Below are 18,676 nucleotides of genomic sequence, written 5' to 3'. Positions count from 1 at the left end.
CAGAAGGGACAAATGCTGTGTCCTCACAAGGCAGAAGAGACAGAGGGCAAAAGGCCTGAATGTTGTGTGAAGCTTCTCTTATAATGGCCTTAATCCCCCTCACAAAGGAGGAACCCTCAGGACCTAATCACCTCCCAAAGGTCCCACTTCTTTTCTATTATTATTATTGTGATTATTATTATACTTTAAGTTCTGGGATACATTTGCAGAACGTGCAGGTTCATTACACAGGTATACACGTTAAAGGCCCCACTTCTTAATACTAGTACATTGGAAATTAACTTTCAACATGAATTCTGGAGAGGACACAAACATTCAAACCATAGCAGAGGCCAAGGTGAATTCAAGGTCACAAAACTCCTAAGAAAGCCAGTAAGTACCGAACCCAAGCTTCTGTCTCTAAGATTATTCTACCCCTCATTTTTCACAATGCCTCTGTCCCATCACGCAGAGGGCAAGCAGGATGGAGCTTATTTCCTGTCCCCAGCCAGTAGTAGTTGTTAGATGGTGCCACGCTGGCACCATCTGCAAAAAATAGAAACGGGTTAGCAGAATGTCTCCTAGTCTCTGTTTTCTCCAGAGACTTTTCTTGGTTCAGCATACTGAGACTTTCAGGAAGAATAATGGGTTTTCAATTAAAAAAAATAAATAAATAAAGACAAGCATTGAATGGTCTATCAATTAGAGAATCAAGGGAGTAATTTATTCCAAAGACTGGGGAGTGGGGGTGGGTAGGAAAATTCTAGACTGAGGAAGGCCAGTAAGTTTGATCACTTCAGTCTGCTGGTGGTGGCTTCCCGGAATACTTTGTTGAGGATTATGGAACAGTAAATAGCCTCAGTAATAATAATAGCTAACACTAATTGGCATTAAGCACCATTTTTAATAGCTTTATAAACATTATATCATTTAATCCTCACAACAACCCCATCAGATAAAGTGATACTGTCATTCCCATTTTAAAGATGATAAAACTGAGTCACAGTTAAGTTGCTTGCCCACGTTCAGAGCCAGTAAGCAGCAGAGGTGTAGAGCCAGGCACTCTGACTCCAGAGTCTGTAGGCTAAATCACTGCACAATCCAGCATCCCCTCAGTGGAAAAAGAGCTCTGATGGGCACGTCCACATGAATGGGCAGGTCGTTGCCGCATTTCATAGACCTGTCTCAATACTTGAATGGTTGCAACAGTGCTTAAGAATTTGCCATTGGTTGGGCGCAGTGGCCTCCCAGCACTTTGGGAGGCCAAGGCGGATGGATCACTTGAGGTCAGGAGTTTGAGACCAGCCTGGCCAACATGATGAAACTCCGTCTCTACTAAAAATACAAAATTTAGCTGGGCATGGTGGTGCACATCTGTAATCCCAGCTACTCCAGAGGCTGAGACAGGAGAATATCTTGAACCCTGGAGGTGGAGGTTGCAGTGAGCTGAGATCACACCACCGCACTCCAGCCCAGGTGACAGAGCGAGACTAACTAAAAAAAAAAAAAAAAGCCATCACTATTTTAGATTATCTAATCATCTCACCAGATTTAGCAAATAAAATACAGGATGCCCAGTTAAATGTGAATTTCAGATTAACAACAGACAATTTTGTTATATCCCAAAGATTGCATGGGACATACTTAGATTAAAATTGTACATTGTTTATCTGAAATTCAAATTTAATTAGGCATCTTGGATTTTATCTGACATTCCTATTCCTGAAAGACAATAGAATGGCAACTTATTTCACTTTATATTTACCTCAAACAAACATCCGTCTTTTTTACAAAACTCTCTTTTTCCCAAACAGTCTGTGGCTTTTTCTTTAAATCAAGTTACAGCAAACTGTCATCGAAATCCAGCCTGCTGCCTGTTTCTGTATGGGCTGCAAGCTAAGATTTTTTTTTTTTTTTTACATTTTTAATGGTTGAAACAATCAAAAGAAAAATGCTATATTCTATGACACATTAAAATAATATGAAATTTGACTTTCTGTGCCCATAATTAAAATTTCATTGAATCATAACCAAGCTCATTTGTTACATATGATCTATGGCTACTTGCACATTACAACAGCAGAGTTGAACAGTTTCAGTAAAGACCGTGTGACCCACAAAGTCTAATTTACTCTCAGGCCTTTTACAGAAAAAGTTGGCCAACCCTTTTCTTGGACAATTTCTCATTCATGATGGGTAATAAACAAGTTGTGATGGCAGAATGCCCAAGTGTATTTCCAGTGCGGTCAATGGGTCCTTTTGTTCTCCCACCCTCATCCCAGCCCCCGGCTGCAAAACTGGCTTCTTCCATCATATTTTGGCCTAGCTGTCAACAGAGTTGACAACCTCCCTTACAAAGTTTGAACCTAGAATCTCAAATACATTTGCTTGAGGAAATACAATTCAAAAATCTGCCAACGTGTTTGTTTAGAAGAAACAGGTATGGCCAGTATGGTAGCTTATGCCTATAATCCCAGCACTTTGGGAGGCTGAGGTGGGAGGATTGCTTGAGGCCAGGAATTCAAGACCAGCCTGGGCAACATAGTGAGACCCCCATCTTTAAAAAAAAAAAAATTTTATCAAAAGCATTAGCCAGGCATGGTGTTGTGTACCTGTAGTCCCAGCTACTCAGGAGGCTAAGGTGAGCCCAAGAGTTCGAGGCTGCAGTGAGCTGTGATTATGCCGTTGCACTCCAGCCTGGGTAACAGAAGACCCTGTATCAAAAAAAAAAAAAAAAAAAAATCACTGACAAAGCTTTTCATCTGCAAATGGGGACAATTTAAAAGAAAGAAAGAAAAGGCAGATACACTGAGCAACTAGAACAAGGTCCATCTTAATGAACTGCCCTCCACCAGCCAGCACCCTTCCTTCTAGATCCTTCTTGTCTTGCCAACCAGAGCCCCTGACTAGCAAAACTGTTTGATTCTTCTTTATTGTTTTCAGAGACATGGGCCCTCAAATACATTGTACCACTTGGTCAGGGATGTCAAAAAGGTAAGAACCCTCTCGACTGCAGGTCGGAGGCCCTGTCTTGACTGCTTCCTGTGATTAGAGAGTGCCTCTGTTTTGCATGAGCTGCCAGAGTATTCCTGTCCCTATCAGGCGCCACTCATTTCAGAACAGTGTGTGTGTGTGTGTGTGTGTATGTGTCTTTTAACTCTGATGCTTCTGTTCATGATGCAGCTGTGGTGTTATCTCCAATCGCCGTGCTTTTAGATGCTTTTGGTGGACATAATGCTTTTGGGTAGCGGAACTCTTGGCTTTCCCCGTGCCAAGTGGATTTATGCCATACCTGTATTTTTCCATATGCCCCTCACTGTTTGGGGAGCTGCCTGACTGACCACAAGAGTAAATCTTCATTCACCAGCTCCTGATACAATGTCACATCTAGCATTACATAGAGTGTAGTAAGCATAGCTCCAAATTTTCTAAAAACAGGGACTAAAACATAAATATGCATTCCATTCTTCTAACATTCTATTTTTTCCAGAATATTTTTTCACACTTTTCATCTCATTAGATGGGAAAAAAATGTTGGTAGGTATGGATCGGGTAGAATTATTTTCATTTTACAGATGAGGAAGCCGAACTACAAGGAGATGAGAGCTATATTGGCATTTAGTGAAGAGCTAGGTTTAAAGTTCAGTTCATTTTATTAATAATGATAAAATAATAATAGTCATGAGCTAGTGATGACTAGGTGCACAGCATTGCTGCATACTTTCAGTGCATCTTAATTCATTTAATCTTCACAACAATTCTATGAAATAGAATTATTATTTTATTATTATAGGCTAGGCACAGAGACTCATGCCTGTAATCCCAGCACTTTGGAGGCCCAAGGTGGGTGGATCACCTAAGGTCGAGTTCAAGGCCAGCCTGGTCTGGTTAACATGGTGAAACCCTGTCTCTACTAAAAATACAAAAATTAGCTTGGCATGGTGGTGTGTGCCTGTAAGCTCAGCTACTTGGGAGGCTGAGGCAGGAGAATCACTTGAACCCGGGAGGTGGAGGCTGCAGTGAGCCAAGATCGTGCCACTGCACTCCAGCCTGAACAACAGAGTGAGATTCCATCAAAAAATTATTATTTTATTATTATAATACAGTTTTATTCCCACTTAAAGACAAGAAGAATGAAGTATAGGGAGATTCTGTTTAATCTTAGCCAAGTGGTTGTTCTTTTGCCCCATATTATCTCCTTCAGAGGTAGCTTGAGTTCTGAACCCTTAAATCCATCCCAGAAAGTGATGTTTTAATTCCAAAAAATAAAACAGAAGATGGCACTGCCCCCGCCCCTTACCTATGTGCCCATACATGTATGCACACATTTGCCCACTATCGCCACTTGGTAACAATTCTTCACCAAAGTCCACAGGACATATTCAGAGAAACCTACAAAGTGAAGTCAAAAATACAGTATGATTTCTTCATCTCACAGGAAGTGATTGGCTAGAATTGCCCTTAGGCATCCTGTAACTACTTTTTTATTTTTCCTTTGAAAGGCCAAGCAAAGGCCTTGGGGCTACTTATAATGTACCTATTCACCTGCTGGATCTTTGCTAAGAATGAGTAAAGGATATAAAAATAACACACAGAAAATCAAAATCTCCATCCTTTGGCCCTTGCAAACTTTCCTCCCATCTCTATACCACCTTAATGAAGGATTTTTCATCTACTTGAGTGGGTGAAGCCTGTAGTTTTTTCAAAACAAGAGGGGAAAACACTATGCAATCTGTACTCCCAACTCAACAACCACTTTCCTGAGATTGTGTCTTTCACTGGTCTACCCATTCCATGCCATCGTAGTAGATCTACCCTCAACAAACCCATTTCTCTTTCCTTTGAACCTTCCGGTTTTGTCTAATTCATCCTGGCTTAAAATTGCCTGAAAACTAAACTCAGAAGAGTAGAAGTAGACACATTCGATGTGTCTTCTTCAGAGAGATAGTTGTTGCTCATGTTCAACCAAATGTTTTGAGTTTTTCTAAAGTAATGACTTGGAGTATTCTCTCCTTCACCTTAAGTTAATCTCTGTCCCTGAAGGAATTGTGAGGTTTTCTAAAGAGACAGCTATGCCTTTGTCCCTCAATCCCAGTCATCACCAACCCAAACCTTTAAAAAGAGTCGCTCATCCAATTCAATGACCCAGCCTCCCAGCAATAAGGTCTTGTCTAATTTTCAAAGGGATTTTTGCAGTTAGATTTCACTGAGTATAAATTATTAAAATCCCTCTCATTACTTTCTTTTCCCCATAGGACTCTGCTTTGCAATATTGTTTTCTCTTTTCTGAAATCCCTTGAGCTGCCTTTTGCATTTGCTCACGTCACTTGTATGATTAGAAGGCATGTAAAGTATCTCTAAGGTAGGGTTTTTTGTAGCTTCTCAGCTAAAGATGTACCTGAAAAATAATATAGACTAACAAGAAAGAACAGGATGGTAAGAATTTGGGAGGAAGAAGGAATAAAAGCAGCTTTTTTTTTTCCTTTTAAGTATGATCCAAATATTAGAGCAAGAAAATCATTATATAAGCATGCAGTTACCATTTACTTGCAAATTTAGTAACTGGAAAAAATGATAACAAATGACCAAGAATAGTACTGAACTGGTCTAGAAATAATTTATCCTTTTACCTGGAAAAAGAGACTGCCAATAAGACAGGGAGACACAGAAAGCCAATGTTTAATTTCTTCCCTTGGGAAAAAGTAGAAGCAGGAAATGCAGAATGCATTATTTCCAGGACTAAGGTAAGTATCTGATGATGGGAGAGCAAGAAAGATGAACAATGGTAGTCACAGGAGTCACAAGGCCTACATTTTATGTTATATGGATTAAGGGAGCTGAAAATGAAGACTTTTGTTTGTTTTGTGTTTGGGGAAGAAGTGAATAAGGGAGAAGTTAACATTGGTGCACAACTTTCTCAGGTGACTTTCAGCAATTTTCAGGTGGTTTCAGGTGACTTTCAGGTGGTTTCAAGTGACTTCTAGCAATTTAGGCCAATAGGATAATCAAAGGCTACAAAACTAGAGTTAAAATGCTAAGAAAATCTTGGGAACTTAAAGCAATTTTCAAAATTAAAGAAAATAATAATAATTAATGTGTGCTTTCTTCTTTACAATTATGGGGGGAAATATATGTGTGCATATATATTTAACCTGGACAAAATTAATGAATAAGTTATTAACTCTGGTACAAAACGCTATTCATGAGTTAGGAACACAGTCCTAGACCTTAAGCATAGTGTTTGATAATACATCTGTAAAACTATATGTAAATAACTCTTAAGAACCAAAGGAATGCATTGAGGAATTATCAGACCATCATAAGTCAATCAGCATGACATCTCCAGTTTACCTCTTCTTTGAGACCAACAGAACTGAATGTGGGGAATTGCTCCCAAGCTTGTTTTGAAATCTCAAATTATTTATATCAAGGGAACAATCTAGGAGCAATGAGGTAAAAAGAGTGGCACTTCAGCATTAATCAGAAATTTAAATTGTTTTAAACCAACCCAGTTCCCTGAACTATTTTCATGCATAAATCCATTGAATGTACCAATGCTCTCATATTAAACCAGAGTGGCCCAAGTCTGTCTGCTTTTCTGTGGAATATAACCTGCCATTTTAGTAGCTGTCTGCTCACTTTGTGCCTCTGTACGTTTTAAAGTAGTTTTTTCCTTTCTTAAATGTGCTAATACTTCAAATTACCTATACTATCCTTCCCCACCAAAAGAGGATGCTATTTGAGTGTTATGTGGAAGTAGTGGTGAAATTATGATAATTTAAAGTTCATTTACATGGGAATTAAGACCCAGAGCTTTTCAGAATAAAAAAAAAAAAAAAAAAAGGCATTTCAGACACACTTTGGGTAAGGAAAGGACATTTGCATAATCCCATCTGCTAAATGCATGGAAATTTGCAAAAGCATTATTATATTTCAGAGGATTGGTTGCCCGATATATTGCCATGTTAAGGGGCTGTACATTGGGGTGATGTCCTCTTTTCCCCTGAGCTCTCACCAGATGAAGCCCCTACCGGGTGATTACTCACACCAACTGCAGTCCACTTTTCTTTATTATACAAGCTGTCCCAGGGGAGTCTTTTCTTCACACTTCCTTGGTAAACCTGACAACCGCAATCATTTTATATCTTATGTATCTCAGAAGGAACCAATCTTGTTTTGAAGGCTTGTTATGAGTTTCAAAGGAAGACAGTTTTCCTAAACAGTTGAGATCTGATAGTGATATGGTGAGCTGACATCTGAAAAACCCCAACCATTTTGAAGAGCAGATCTAATAAGTGAATTTAAACTATGCTTTTAATTAAAAGGTTTCCTTATGCATGGCACGAAGTAAACCTTAGCTTCAGGTTAGCAGTTCATAGCATGAAAAAAGAAGACAACATTTTCAAGTTGTCAAATCGTACCTACTCATAGAACCCAAGCCTGTCTAGCAAATTACTTGAATCACATGACCTCCCACTGTTAAGGCATGAAATGGGAAATAATAGTTCAGGCTTTACCAATTACCAAAGTCATTACCGAAGGGGGAGGGGGAAGTGCTAGAACAGAAACAGCAGGCAGAATGACTGTTCCTCCAGTATCCTTTTTGACTTCTAATTTGAAAAGGACCCAAGCAAAGGAAGTCTCCTCCAGAAGGTGTTTGGACTTTACCTGTTGGCATGTGAGGTACTGCTCACCTTCTCTGCTTTTTCCAGAGGAGCTGGATGCACTGAGCACCACCCCATCCCCATCTATCCTTTTACCATCCCTTGTCTACAAGCCTCTGGTTCCACTAACCAAACTCCAGGGGATCACTGGAAGCTACATCAACCTTGGAAGCTCTGAACAGGGTCTTTGGCCAGTGGGCCGAAAGGAGTAAGAACAGCCTGCCAAGTAGTGGTCATACAGTTGGATTTTTAGAAATAGACAGAATCTTAGAAGTTATTGTGTCCAAGCCACCTATTTTCACAGCATAAACCGAGGTACAGAGACAGGAAGTGATCTGGCCAGGGTCACTTGGGGTCAGGACCATGGCCCAACCCAGAGCTGTTTCCTCTATGGGGTCATGTTGCTGGCTGCTCCTGAATGAGTATCCATAAGTTCCCCTCTACCTGGCAATACCCATCCTAGGAGAAGCAATGCAAATGCATCATCTGTGACATCCACAGGTCCCAGTGGTCAAGGCCATTGGCCCAGCTTAGTATCATGCACTGAGGCTGCCATCCCCCTCAGAGTCCACGCAGGACACCTATCCCAAGGGGCCTAAATTGTACTCAATTTTATTCATGTTATAAAACCGATTTCTTCCTCCCGAAGAAGGTTTCCACTCTTCCTAGTAAGAAAGGTAAAAGTAATTCCCTAACTTCTTTGCTCCCTAAAATCTCTGTGAAGAAACAGATGAGATCCAGCCTTGCAGGCTGAATGCAAACACATTACTTGTTAAATTTTCACTCCTCCAAATATCACTTACAGGAGAGCATCTGACTCATTCCTTAGCGCCTAATCCTTCATCCACTCTGGGTTTGTTTATATGGCCTTATAGTACATATAAAACATATATATACCATACATGTTTTATAGCGGTGGCTCATGCCTGTAATCCCAACACTTTGGGAGGCCGAGATGAGTGGATCACCTGAGGTCAGGAGTTCGAGACCAGCCTGACCAACATGGTGAAACCCCATCTCTCCTAAAAATACAAAAAAATTAGCTGGCATGATGGCACATGCCTGTAATCCCAACTACACTGGAGGCTGAGGCAGGAGAATCACTTGAACCCGGGAGGCGGAGGTTGCAGTGAGTCGAGATCACACCATTGCACTCCAGCCTGGGCGACAAGAGTGAAACTCCGTCTCAAAAGAAAAAAACAAAACAAAACAAAAAACGGAAGAGGCAGGAAAATGCTGCTGGGAAGGGAGGAATTCTCATTGGCTTCGGTTAGGTGAATATCGCCCCCTTGTGGTCAAACAGAACGCAGGCCCCCCCCCCCCCCGGCACTGGTCACAGAATCATTTATCCTCCTTCAGGGCTGACCAAACATAAATCATTCTGAAAGAATCAAGCTTTATATGAGACGATCCCAGCACCTGCTTGCTTGCCAATATATACCGCTAAAAGTCCTTTATGGATATAGCCATTTTCTAAAAATGTTCTATTTGCCCCTTAAATGTTTATTGATTTTGAATTTTACTATAATCACTTTCCTGACAACTCCCAAAGACACCTTGAAAGCATAAATATTCCCTTTCAGTATTGGTCTTCAAGCAATATTGGTGTCTTATTTTTAGAATTCTAACTGATGCTTACACCTAAGTTTCTCAAAGCAAAATACATAGGTGTTAGGCTTGGTATTACCCACATTTTAATTTTTTTTTTTTTTTTTTTTTTTTAAGACAGAGTCTTGCTCTGTCGCCCAGATGGTAATGCAGTGGTGCAATCTCGGCTCACTTCAACATCTGCCTCCCGGGTTCAAGCGATTCTGCCTCAGCCTCCTGAGTAGCTGAGACTACAGGTGCATGCCACCATGCCCCACTAATTTTTTGTATTTTAGTACAGACGGGGTTTCACCATGTTGCCCAGGCTGGTCTCAAACTCCTGAGCTCAGGCAATCCACCCACCTTGGCCTCCCAAAGTGCTAGGATTACAGGTGTGAGCCCACACTTAAAATTTTTTGAATTCCTACAAGATTAAAACTAGGCACAAATTTATAGATCTGCTCTGATTGCCTTTTTATAGCATCACAAAAAGTCCTTTGAGGATTTTCCTGAAACCTGGCCTTTGAACACTGCAGACCATAAAGGCCATGGAGTGCAAACCCCTTTCACTGGAAAGAAATCTGAGAGCTTAAGGGAAAGTGTCTGCTGGCCAAAGGACAGATAGAAGCCCGGGGCAGCTGACTGGAAACTGGTGTGCTTCCTCCTCACCCTGCCAGGGAAAATGACACGATGGGTGGGCATCCTCGGGCGGTCATCCCCATAGGAGCCCTGTGGCTATGAATGAGGCTTACCCAGGCCAGTCCAGTCTCTGAGACTCTTCTACTCTTTAAATAACAGCCTCGCCTAACAGTCCAGGAAAGCCAAAGGATACAGAAACTGTGGCCTTGTTAGCCTGCCCCAAAATAATGGAGAAAAGTGGTTGCATTAGTACTATTTTTAAACTCAGTTTAGTTTTATGGGAAGGCTAATACATGAAAAGTTACTATCTTAAAACTTTCTCTGAGCTCCCTTTTTAATATTTTTTGCCATGCTTTGCATAAAGAAGTCAGACAATTGGTCTTTTTTAGCCTGAGGATAGCTTAGCTTGCTGATTCAGTTAGATGGATAAAGATAATCTTCAAACAAAGGAGATTTTGAAATTCTGAGGAGGGTAGAGGTCATTTTTGTGAGGGGACTATTCAGCTCATCAAATGGATGCCAGATTAGGCTGTGGAGGGCCAAGGTCAAGGACGGAAGGGGTCTGTGTCTCAAAATGTTCCACCTCATATATGATGCCCTTCACACAGCCCCATTTTGCCTGGCTGGCTCCAGTTAGATGCCCAAGCCTACCATGTACCCCAAGCCAAGGGAGAGGTAGAACACAGTGGGATGGGGTGGGAGCTAATTCTGGGGACAGCAAGAAGTCTAAAAAGCAGCAATGGGCTGGGCATGGTGGCTCACACCTGTAATCCCAGCACTTTGGGAGGCCGAGGCGGGAGGATCACCTGAGGTCAGGAGTTCGAGACTAGCCTGGCCAACATGGCAAAACCCTGTCTCTACTAAAAATACACAAATTAGCTGGGCATGGTGGCATACACCTGTAGTCCAAGCTACTCGGGAGGCTGAGGCAGGAGAATCACTTGAACCCAGGAGGCAGAGGTTGCAGTGAGCCCAAATCACGCCATTGCACTCCAGCCTGGGCAACAAGAGTGAAACTCTGTCTCAAAAAAAAAAAAAAAAAAAAAAAAGCAGCAATGGAGTCTTATATGCCTGAGGCTGGTGCTTCAATTACTATCTATTTGTTCTCACTCCATTGAGGATAGCCACTGAATTCCAGATACAGCATTACCTGTATTTCAGAGCAAATTTCCATAGTGAACTAGGGCTATTCCAACCAGGGATGACTAACAAGATTGTGGCTACTTGGTTTTGTTACTGAGAACATAATACTCAAAAACCCAAACCCAGACTTGATCCCAACAACATCAATTAATTTCACTGTTTTACTGGTTTACATTTTCAACAAAAACACTCTGAGTGCCCACCATATGCCAGGCATATTATAAGAGGCTCTCAGGATATAAAGATAAATCAAACAAGAAACATGTAAAGCTATAGGTTTAATGATAGGATGCAGCGGGATACCTCTAATCCTGAATCCCAAAACCTTCAAATGGATACAGTTGCCCATAGAAAAGCTGAGTAAGGACAACTGAAAACCTACCCTCAGGTTAGCAAAAAAATTTTAATTAATTTCTGACTGAAAGCAATTAACTTTTGACACTATGAATTTCCCAGTTCTGCTGCCTAATCTACCACTACCACCAGAAACTTACTGAGTAGACAAGCAGTTTGACAAACTTGAGTGTGCATCAGAATCACCTGAGGAGCTAGGAAAGGCCACAGAGGCCCCGATACATTGAAGTAGGTGAGACAAAGTCCAGCCGTTTGTAATGTCACCAAGTTCCCCAGGGTATTCTGATGCCACCAAAGTTGGAAAACCACCACTATACATAATGCACGTCTTCTGTGAAGTGGCAGAAATCTCACACAGCATCCTGGGTGGGTCCTTCATTAAGGACAAAAGTGGATGGAGCCCCTTGTGTCTGTCCCAAATAGATCTAAGGGCATGAGGCTTCCTAAGCAGTGTGACACCCAGCCATTCATGGTATAGAGCGCTCTCCCGCAAGAAGGAGCTACACCAGGCAGTGAGAGTGGATTAATCATGACCTTTGGAATTCACTATGCACTCAGACTTTCTCACAAATGGAACTAACTCTCCCTTGACCTAACAGCAAAAATTTTCTTAAGAACCTAAACTTTAGAAGTAGAAAGCAGTAGTGAGTAAATAATAAGAAAATCTTTACTATTTTTGCATGTATAGATGGCAAACAGCTAAAAAAGACACCATAACTCTAGATCTTTAAGAAATGTTACTCTCTTTAAAAGAAAAAATGAAAATCTCCTTAATTCTAGAAAAATAAATACTCCATTGATAAAAATGTCTCCTCCAATTTCTCTCCCCCTTCTCTTTAAATGCAAGGGATGTTCATATACAACCTCATTCTGACACCCAAAATCCCCTCCCTAAATATTGCTCTTCTTTTATGAAAAAAGTGTCAATTTTTTAAAATTATGGATAGAGGTTTTGTATTAAAGGAGACCCGAGTCCTAAAATCCCAGCTGATGGAGGCTCTGGTAATGACACTCATCTTCTGAAAGGAGTCTTCCTTTAAAGGGTGGTAGAAACCAAATGATATCAAGAGAGTGGTAACAGGCCTGGGTCAGAGGCAGAAATGCGGGCTTGGGGAGCATCTGGGGAAACCTAGTTCCTAGTGCCTGGGAGTGATAGCATTTGCCCTGTCTAGCCTTGTGTTTCTTTCTTCTACACTGGTGTTTTTTTCTCCCCAGCTGAAGACTTGAATAAATATTTTGATTTTCTATTATTGCCGACGATTACTGCATCTTCTTATTTAACTTATGTCTTCTTTCCAAGCGAGAGTATCCAGGTTTCGGTTGGATCTATTTTAAGGTGAATTAATTAACCAGCATAATAATACATTCATATGTTTCTTTTTTCATTATTTTTTTTTTACTCTAGTTACAGAATACGTGAAGTAGAATCCCTAGTAAACCACGTTGTCTTTTGGATTTGTCTGTTTGTTTCATTCTACCCTGATAGGGGAACCTGCCCCCAGACTACAGAATCAGCCTGATTGACATCGGCCTGGTGATCGAGTACCTGATGGGCGGGGCTTATCGCTGCAACTACACGCGCAAGCGCTTCCGGACCCTCTACCACAACCTCTTCGGCCCCAAGAGGGTGAGGCTGGCTGCAAATTCGGGGCCCTTCCTGGGAGGACTAGGGTGTATGGGATTTGGGTTGTGGCTTCTTTGTCTCCAAGGGGAATTAAAATCAGAAAATTGCGCTGAGAGTGAACCTAAACAATCAAAGAAAAGTAATGAAATTCAAATTAATCTTATCATTGAGATTATTAAACTCAGCAGTTTTCCAGGTTTTGGGTCTTTATACCTTTAAAAATTGTTGAGAACCTCAAGGAGCTTTTATCTATGGGAATTCTACCTATTGGTGTTTATTTACCATGTTAGAAATTTAAATGGAGACTCTAAAAATATTTAATCCATTTTAAGTTAAACATAGGAATCCCATTATATGTTAACATAAAGAACATGTTTACAAACAAAAACATATTTTCAAAAACAAAGAATAAGTTCATAATAGGAGCATTTTTTACCTTTTGCAAATTTCTGTAATGTCCAGCTTAATAGAAGAGGGCTAGATATCTACTTGTGGATTCAGTCTGTTGTAGGATATTCTGGTTAAAGTATATAAAGAAAATCTGACCCCACAAAAATATATGACAAACACAGCAAATATATCAAAGGAAGGAGTATTTTAACCCTCTTTACATATAATTGTAAATATCATTTTTTTGATACTACACCAAAATTTAATAAGTAACGTTTCTTAAAAATGAGTTGCAAGGTGAAATCTAAAACCATGTAAGTGAACTTTTCAAATTCTGTTACACTGAAATTCACTAGTCTAGCCAGCCATGGTCCCAGCTACTAAGGGGGCTGAGGCAGGAGACTCGCTTGAGCCCAGGAGTTCGAGGCTGTATTATACTATTATAGTGCCTGTGAGTAGCCCCTGCCCTGCAACCTGAACAACATAGTGAGACTCTGACTCTAAAACAATACAATAAAATAATAACAAAGTAAAATCCAACGGTCTATCTTGTACTTTGATGGATCTTGTAACATCATAGATTGGTCATGGAAAATTAGTTTGTTAAGGTATGCAGCTCTTCCAAATATTGACACATTTTATTATACAATTTCATTAGTATCACCTCTATCTCATGGGAAATGTCTTTCAGTACTGAAAAGCTGTCAAAGTCATGGTGGAGGTGGGGGGAGTACATACAAGTTTTCCAGAATCCCAATTTTTTTCTTAAAAGTTTGAATTTTGTCATTGGCAGCAAATACGATCAGTTGTTTTCCTTGAAATAACAGCCTCACTTTGGTCATTCCAAAAACATCTGCCAAAGGTCCAAGTCTACATAACCTTAGTCCATCTGCCAATCAGTCCTTCAAGTAAAAATTATATTCCATGAAAAAAAAAAGTGGCTATAATACAATCCAAACAATCGCATAAGTGCATTTCCTCAGGACAACCCATAATAGTTCAGTATACAGCAGAACTATTTTAGGGGCATACTTCCCATTTCATCCCACAGAACAGTAAAAAGACGGTTAACCAAGGTTAAGGATTTAATAAAGTTAATCATTTTTTAGACCTCAACAAGGCCATTCTTAAGTAAAACGGTTGCATTTGCTTTCTGCAAATGCATAACACTGGAGTCTAATGACATCGGGTAAAGGTGGGTACCACTGCCTTTGTTCTTGCCAAGGCACCCAGCAGCTTTACTCACCACTGCTTTTGCACCATTAGTACAAATGTCAAGATGGTGCCAAACCCAATTACATCTTAGTACTATTATGAAAATAGCTTTGACTTTACACACCCTCTCAAAATGTTTCAGGGACCCTCATGACCCATGGGTCACATTCTGAGAACTGCTGCTCTAGCTGGTAGTGGGCATGATTTTTTTTTTTTTTTTTTTGAGACGCAGTCTCACCCTGTTGCCCAGACTGGAGTGCAGTGGTGTGGTCTCAGCTCACTACAACCTCCACCTCCCAGGTTCAAGCAATTCTCCTACCTCAGCCTCCCGAGTAGCCGGCATTACAGGCATGTGCGACTACACTCAGCTATTTTTTGTATTTTTTAGTAGAGAAGGGGTTTCGCCATGTTGGCCAGGCTGGTCTTAAACTCTTGACCTCAGGTGATCCACCTGCCACCTTGGCCTCCCAAACTGCTGGGATTACAGGTGTGAGCCACTGTGTGGAGCCATGATTTTTATATTTAACAAAGTTTTTTTCTGATTCTGAAAGCATTTTGTGGAACTAGTAAAGAACTTTGAAAATACCTAAAATTTAACAACAGGGATTTGTTTGAAAATGAAAAAATATATATAACAGAATTTTTAAAAAAATACCAGTAACTATAAATAAGAAAAAAATGAAATAGATATTAGCCTAGTAGTCATTTTAGAAGCTGAAAGAGAGAGAGAAAAATGAGAGAGAGAGAGATTCGGTTTGAGCTGTTCTAACATGAATAGCCAAATACAATTTGGAGGAACTGTAAGTGCTGTACACTTACCATTTACTCAAATAACTTTCAAGATGGTGCCCAACCATTCTGAAATATTTAAAAGCTTAAAATTGTTATTCCTGGCCCCAGAGATGTAATTTTGTATTACCTCCTGGTAAATATAGATCAGGGTCTGTGTTCTTCTGAGTTGCCTTTTCTCTCCGACTCAGCCTGTGCCTGTTTTGCACATTCCCAGCATGGCCAATGATGCTTCCTGTGTGCTGACACTTTCCATGCTATTAAGCACCTTTGCCACCATCAGCACAGGCCCTCTGGCCCCACTCGCCCTTGCCCTGATGTGCAGCAGCACAGGGAAACGGCCAGCATAAAGAATCTAAACATATTAATATATTTCTGAATAATACCCCAGGTCTCCAGATAATAGAGGCTCTTCAGAGGTTTGAGAAATACATGATTCATTCTGCTTGATAGAAGGTTTCCTTGTTCATTTGTCTTCGTCTATTCAGGCTGCTACGACAAAATACCATCAGCAGGATGTCTTATAACAACAGAAATTCATTTCTCACAGTTCTGGAGGGTAGGAAATCCAATATCTAGGGACGAGCAGATTTAGTGTCTGGTGAGAGCCTGCTTCCTCATTCATAGTGACACCTTGTCACTGTGTCCTCATCCAGTAGAAGGGTGAATGAGCTGCATTGAGCCTCTTTTATAAGGGTACTAATCCCATTCCTGAGGTTTCTTCTCTCTTGATCTAATCACCTCCCAGAAAGTGTCCCCCCTAATACCATCACCTTTGGAATTAGAATATCAACATATGAATTTGGGAGGCAAAAACATTCAGACCAAAGCACTTGTTCAAATACTACATGTTGTGAAGGTGTCACCCAAACAAGATGGTTATGGAAGGTGAAAGAAATCTTGGTTCACAAAAGACATTATAAACCTGCAGGCTCTATTCTCAGGCAATCTCATTATGCCTGGCTAGTTTCCTCATTTTCTGTAGATTCATTAAAATCACCGAATCCAAAATTCTCTTGGAATTTCTATAAATCAGTTCTTCTTGTGGTGTTTTATTTAGCAAAATAAAATAAACGCCATATGGTACAATAGTGTTCTTCTATTACCTGTTTAAAATATAATAGGACTCTTGGAGGCTGGGTGTGGTGGCTCATGCCTATAATCCCAGTACTTTGGGAGGCTGAGGTGGGAGGACCACTTGAGCCCAAGAGCTTGAGACCAGCCTGGCAACATAGTGAGACCCCATCTCTACAAAACATTTTTAAAACTTAGCCAAGCGTGGTAACATGCACCTGTACTCTCAGCTACGTGGGGCACTGAAGTAGGAGAATCACTTGAGCCCGGGAGGTTGAGGCTGCAGTGAACCATGATCATGCCTCTACACTCCAACTCAGGTGACAAAGTGAGACCTTGTCTCAATAAAAACAAAACAAAACAAAACAAAAAATATATAATAGGACTCTTCTTACCTTTATGAAAGAAAGATCTAACTGATCTAACTTTGTTCACAACGTTTTTTTTAACAGCCCAAAGCCTTGAAACTGCTGGGAATGGAGGTAAGTGTTTGTCCAAATTATTAGTGTCAATGATTTATTCTCTTTATTACCCATTATATATATGCTACATATATAGTATATATATAAAATAATATATAGTGTATATACACATAATATATATACTATATATAATATATATATACTATAAATATATAGTATATATAATGTGTAATACTATATATACTACATACTATAGTATGTATATATTATATATATATAATAATATATATATATAATGTGTCATAAGGGTTGCTCACAGCACCTTTGAAAATTCCACCATGAGGTTATATCTGCAATGCAAACAAAAAAAAATCCTATTTGAAATACTAACCTGAAAACCAAGGAAGCACATAAATTCTAGTAATCAAAATCTATTCATGAGTGTTTACAAGTGATGACAGGTCTAAAGGCCAGAACTACTTCAGAAATGCATCTAATAGGTATTCAGAAACTTGAGATAAATTATCCATTTGCCATCTTTTGTTCATGTGGTTACTGTCATATATGCAAATAAAAATCTAGGATGTCCTTATCCTTTCAGCAAAAAGGGTAGTGCTGTCCATCATTAGGTACAAACATTACCTTTTGAAGAAATAAATGGACAGAAGTAAAAAGAAAGAAAATGGCCCATTAAAAAATAATTTTTTTAATCAGAGTGTAACACTGACATGTTCCCTCAGCACTGTGCTTATGCATTTATCATCACTTGTTTTAAAGTTGGGCATGGATGAGCTTGTGAGTTCTTTTAGGACAGGAGCTGGCCTCGTTCATTTCAGTATTGATCCCAGAGCTAGCTGGGAGAAGATATACAACTGCTACTTGCTGAAATGAACCAATTCATTTCTAACTCAGTCTGTGTGGTTTCCCTGTAATTACAGGATGATATTCCCTTGAGGCGAGGAAGAAAGACAACCAAGAAACGTGAAGAAGAGGTGGACATTGACTTGGATGATCCTGAGATCAACCACTTCCCCTTCCCTTTCCATGAGCTCATGGTGTGGGCTGTTCTCATGAAGCGGCAGAAGATGGCCCTGTTCTTCTGGCAGCACGGTGAGGAGGCCATGGCCAAGGCCCTGGTGGCCTGCAAGCTCTGCAAAGCCATGGCTCATGAGGCCTCTGAGAACGACATGGTTGACGACATTTCCCAGGAGCTGAATCACAATTCCAGGTGGGTCCGCCCAGCAAAATGGGCTGGTCAGGGGGAGAGGAGGAAAGGTGGGCTCCCAGTGCTGGAGAGTCTGAGCTACTCAGAACTTTAAGGGAAATCAGTATCACCCCAGTGATGCACACACAGGATGGACACAAACAATTCCCCTTTATTGTGCACAGTGCCACAGATGGTGGTACCTACAGAAACATGGAACATTTCATCCTGTCAACTTCCCCATGAGGTAGGCCCCGTAGTTATGCACTTCTTTCAGCTAGGAAAAATGGGGCTCAGAGAATTTAAGTAACCTGTCCAAGATCACACATTTGTGGTGGCAAGGCTGGAATTTGAACTGAAGTTTGACACATTTAACAGGACATACTGCCTGGTGCAGTGACTCGTGCCTGTAATCCCAGCACTTTGGGAGGCTGAGGTGTGTGGATCGTTTGAGCCCAGAAGTTTAAGACCAGCCTGGGCAACATAGCAAGACCCCATCTCCAAAAAAAAAATTAAAAATTAGCTGGGTGTGATGGTGCACGCCTGTAGTCCTAGCTGCTCAGGAAGCTAAGGTGGGAGGATCTCTTGAGCC

At 40.6% G+C, this 18,676-nt stretch overlaps 1 protein-coding gene across 19 annotated transcripts in view; it reads left to right on the top strand.

Annotated features, from left to right (window-relative positions):
- The window catches only part of TRPM3 (transient receptor potential cation channel subfamily M member 3), a 917,912-nt gene that overhangs the window by 808,788 nt on the left and 90,448 nt on the right, over positions 1-18,676 (top strand). For 7 of the 19 annotated variants that reach the window (NM_001366142.2, NM_001366146.2, NM_001366145.2 and 4 more), the window contains 5 exons: positions 2,923-2,973; positions 12,667-12,702; positions 12,853-12,993; positions 16,911-16,940; positions 17,819-18,108. In NM_001366142.2, coding sequence (NP_001353071.1) covers positions 2,923-2,973; positions 12,667-12,702; positions 12,853-12,993; positions 16,911-16,940; positions 17,819-18,108 — 548 coding nt within the window. The remainder of the gene's footprint in view (positions 1-2,922; positions 2,974-12,666; positions 12,703-12,852; positions 12,994-16,910; positions 16,941-17,818; positions 18,109-18,676) is intronic. The other 12 variants (NM_001366143.2, NM_001366141.2, NM_001366151.2 and 9 more) reach the window with 3 other exon arrangements.

This window comes from Homo sapiens, chromosome 9 (assembly GCF_000001405.40).
Source record: "Homo sapiens chromosome 9, GRCh38.p14 Primary Assembly".
Taxonomy (NCBI): domain Eukaryota; kingdom Metazoa; phylum Chordata; class Mammalia; order Primates; family Hominidae; genus Homo; species Homo sapiens.
This window is presented reverse-complemented; position numbering and strand designations above follow the sequence as displayed.